This window comes from Homo sapiens, chromosome 12 (genome assembly GCF_000001405.40).
Source record: "Homo sapiens chromosome 12, GRCh38.p14 Primary Assembly".
In the NCBI taxonomy this organism is placed as follows: domain Eukaryota; kingdom Metazoa; phylum Chordata; class Mammalia; order Primates; family Hominidae; genus Homo; species Homo sapiens.
The window spans coordinates 48,496,525-48,500,806 of record NC_000012.12 but is presented as its reverse complement, the minus strand read 5'-3'; the positions used below and the strand labels follow the sequence as shown (position 1 = coordinate 48,500,806).

Genomic DNA, 4,282 nt, shown 5'->3' with positions numbered 1-4,282 from the left:
GCCCGGCCGCCCTGTCTGAGAAGTGAGGAGACCCTCTGCCTGGCAACCGCCCCGTCTGAGAAGTGAGGAGCCCCTCCGCCCGACAGCCGCCCCGTCTGATAAGTGAGGAGCCTCTCCGCCTGGCAGCCACCCCATCTGGGAAGTGAGGAGTGTCTCCGCCCGGCAGCCACCCCGTCCGGGAGGGAGGTGGGGGGGTCAGCCCCCCGCCAGGTCAGCCGCCCCGTCCGGGAGGTGAGGGGCGCCTCTGCCTGGCCGCCCCTACTGGGAAGTGAGGAGCCCCTCTGCCCGGCCAGCCACCCCGTCCGGGAGGGAGGTGGGGGGGTCAGCCCCCCGCCCGGCCAGCAGTCCCGTCCGGGAGGTGAGGGGCGCCTCTGCCCGGCCGCCCCTACTGGGAAGTGAGGAGCCCCTCCGCCGGGCCAGCTGCCCCGTCCAGGAGGGAGGTGGGGGGGTCGGCCACCCGCCCGGCCAGCCGCCCCGTCCGGGAGGTGAGGGGCGCCTCTGCCCGGCCGCTCCTACTGGGAAGTGAGGAGTCCCTCTGCCCGGCCACCACCCCGTCTGGGAGGTGTGCCCAACAGCTCATTGAGAACGGGCCAGGATGACAATGGCGGCTTTGTGGAATAGAAAGGGGGGAAAGGTGGGGAAAAGATTGAGAAATCGGATGGTTGCCGTGTCTGTGTAGAAAGAAGTAGACATGGGAGACTTTTCATTTTGTTCTGTACTAAGAAAAATTCTTCTGCCTTGGGATCCTGTTGATCTGTGACCTTACTCCCAACCCTGTGCTCACTGAAACATGTGCTGTGTCCACTCAGGGTTAAATGGATTAAGGGCGGTGCAAGATGTGCTTTGTTAAACAGATGCTTGAAGGCAGCATGCTCGTTAAGAGTCATCACCACTCCCTAATCTCAAGTACCCAGGGACACAAACACTGCAGAAGGCCACAGGGTCCTCTGCCTAGGAAAACCAGAGACCTTTGTTCACTTGTTTATCTGCTGACCTTCCCTCCACTATTGTCCTGACCCTGCCAAATCCCCCTCTGTGAGAAACACCCAAGAATGATCAATTAAAAAAAAAAAAAGGTAGAAATTTTAGAATGAATAAAAAAGCAAGACTCAAATATAAGTTTGAAATATAAATATGATTTAAATATAAATATAAAACACATAGATTAAAAGTAAAAGGATAGAAAAAGACATCACACAAAGCTCTAAGCATAAGCTAGAGGAGTTCTGTTAATAGAGAAAAGAGTGGAAGTGGTGAGAAATGGGAGAAATTATAGCATATATAGATGATATTGAAATAATTGCAACAGCAACAAGAAAGAAAAAATGATTCAGGAAAAAAGGGGAGAATTGTGGGAGCAATGCTTTTGAGAAGGCTTGATGCATTATGGACCTAGTGCACAAGTAGAGGACGTCCCTATAGATAGGCACGTGGAGAGGGCATCCAAGTAGACAAGTGGACCACCTTCATGCTTTCCTACATATCATCTCGCCCTATCCAATGTTTAGACCTCCACTTATTTTTTCTTTTCCTTTTTTGGATATTTTGTTGTCTAGAACATTCAGAACTTGTTGAAATATGGCAACAATGTTAGAAATCAGTCTTTTCTCTTAATTTAATGACATTTTTAATGTGTTACTTCTGATGTACTGATTCCCTTGTCCCTGTGTCATTGATACTTAAGCAAATAGGTAGAAAGCTACTTTTTTTTCAGGCTTATTCTAGGCTAATCAATTTGGGATCACAGACTGGTGTGCTAGGCAATGAGGATGTGCGCCAAGGGCACACTCGCATACACACTGTAATGCAGGAAACCCCCCATGCCAATTCGGTCTGATCATTATTGATTTGTAAAACCTGCTCTCCTCCATTGTCCTGGCTCCTTCAAAGCCCTACTTTCCCCATGGGTCTCCTCCCCAAAAGTCCTTAATACTCTCTAGGGGCTACATTCTTTTCCCTTAAAATTTAGGAAACTTGTGAATATCCTCCCCACCTCTTAGCCCAGGAATGAAGGCATGGTAACAAAAGCAAATGAGTGTAATGACTAGGTGGTTGAAAAAGCTCCTAAATCTTTCCTTTGCAGTGCAGATTCATCTGTCTAACAATGTGTTTGAAGTCTCTGCTTTGATGTCTCATAGACTCTCAAACATATTTCCAAAAGTAAATTTTTGTTTTCACCTCCAAAGTCTCTTCCTCTCAGTCGTCTCAATTTCTAGTAATGTGTTGCTTCCTTTCATCCAGTTGCTCCAGTTCAAGTCCTGGATCATCCTTGATTATCCTCAGTGACATTAGTGCTTCCTCACTTAACGCCATTCATACAGGAGATATTTTACCAGTAGCAATTTCTTTACTCCATGTTCTTTAAGCTCAGTATCTGACTCACGATAGACAATATTTTCTGTGTAAATGAATGAAGTTCTTTCCTCAATATTATTTATTTATTTATTTGAGACAGAGTCTTGCTCTGTTGCCCAGGCTGGAGTGCAATGGCACCATCTCAGCTCACTGCAACATCTACCTCCTGGGTTCAAGTGATTCTCCTGCCTCAGCTTCCAGAGTAGCTGGGACTATAGGCACCCGCCACCACACCTGACTAATTTTTGTATTTTTAGCAGAGATGGGGTTTCAGTATGTTGGCCAGGCTGGTCTCGAACTCCTGACCTCAGGTGATCCGCCTGCCTTGGCCTCCCAAAGTGCTGGGATCCACTGCACCTGGCCTCAATATCATTTATTAATGAGCCCTTCTAATCCTTCTTGATTAGGAATTTTTGACTATCACAGGCTGAAACTTTTCTGGATCACAAATTGCATTTCTATTCCACTAATTATTTCTGCCTTTTAATATGATACAATATAACTTCAGTGGCTGTAACTTTGAGAAGTAAAAATTTGAAGGTAACTCCATTAATACCTTGATTTGTTTTTGGACATTTCTTTCTTTCTTTTTCTTTTTTTTTGAGATGGAGTTTCGCTCTTCTTGCCCAGGCTGGAGTACAATGGCGTGATTTCGGCTCACCGCAACATCTGCCTCCCAGGTTCAAGCGATTCTCCTGCCTCAGCCTTCCCGAGTAGCTGAGATTACAGGCATGTGCCACCATGCCTGGCTAATTTTATATTTTTAGTAGAGATGGGGTTTCTCCATGTTGGTCAGGCTGGTCTCAAACTCCCGACCTCAGGTGATCCGCCTGCCTCAGCCTCCCAAAGTGCTGGGATTACAGGTGTGAGCCCAGCCTGTTTTTGGACATTTTGTCTTATGCTTCTGGATGAATTTTGCTACCTATTGGTATAAAATATCTTGCTGGGATTTTATATTTAAGTGTTTTTAGAAATGGAAAACACTGGGCTGGGTGCAATGGCTCACGCCTGTAATCCCAGCACTTTGGGAGGCCAAGATGGGTGGATCGCCTGAGGTCAGGAGTTCGAGACCAGCCTGGCCAACACAGTGAAACCCCGTCTCTACTAAAAATACAAAAATTAGCTGGGCGTGGTGGCAGGTGCCTGTAACCCCAGCTACTCGGGAGGCTGAGGCAGGAGAATCACTTGAACCCAGGAGGCGGATGTTGCAGTGAGCTGAGATTGTGTCATTGCACTCCAGCCTGGACGACAAGAGCAAAACTCCGTCTCAAAAATAAATAAATAAATATATAAAATAAAATAAAGAAATGGAAAACACTGACAACATTTTTAATACTGTTGAGCTAGCATGAAAATAGAGGGCACCCTTGTCTGGTTTTGTTTTCAATATAATCCAATAATTACAGTGTCTCCTGATCAGGTAATTTAATTTTTAAAGTGTTAATTAAAAAAATAAAATTTTATGTTAACAAATGCCAAGTCAACATCTATGAGGAGAAGATTTTTATGAAGTTACCTTATTGCCATAATGTGTTCTGATTATTATTTTGCTGGTGTTGTGAAAAATTCTTACTTCAGGGGTTAAATCTTACATGATAGAATATTTAATATATTATGTTCATTTGTTCAGATTTTGTTTAAAAGGAAAGAAATAAAAATTCTACTTTACCAGTTATGTAATATGCACATTTATATATGCAAAGATTACCATCTTTGACAAATACCCTAAATAGTCCTTTCTTGTAGGAAATACTTTTGTACTAGGTGGTCTTTTCACAGGCTGGGAGTAACTATCTTTAAGTGGTAGACTGTGAGACCATCCAGATCACAGGATACTGGAAATGAAAGGCACCTTCAGCATTTTCTAGTAACAGCTACTTACTTTATGGGAGAGGAAACTGAGGCCCACAAAGAAGAAAAACTCAGA

At 44.9% G+C, this 4,282-nt stretch overlaps 1 annotated feature.

The window, feature by feature from the left end:
* Positions 456 to 1,110: an enhancer, noted in NCBI's record as "NANOG-H3K27ac hESC enhancer chr12:48893480-48894134 (GRCh37/hg19 assembly coordinates)". NCBI's record gives its function as "activates a minimal SCP1, AML or CMV promoter by ChIP-STARR-seq in primed H9 embryonic stem cells {active_cell/tissue: H9 hESC(primed)}" and the evidence as "EXISTENCE:reporter gene assay evidence [ECO:0000049][PMID:30033119]".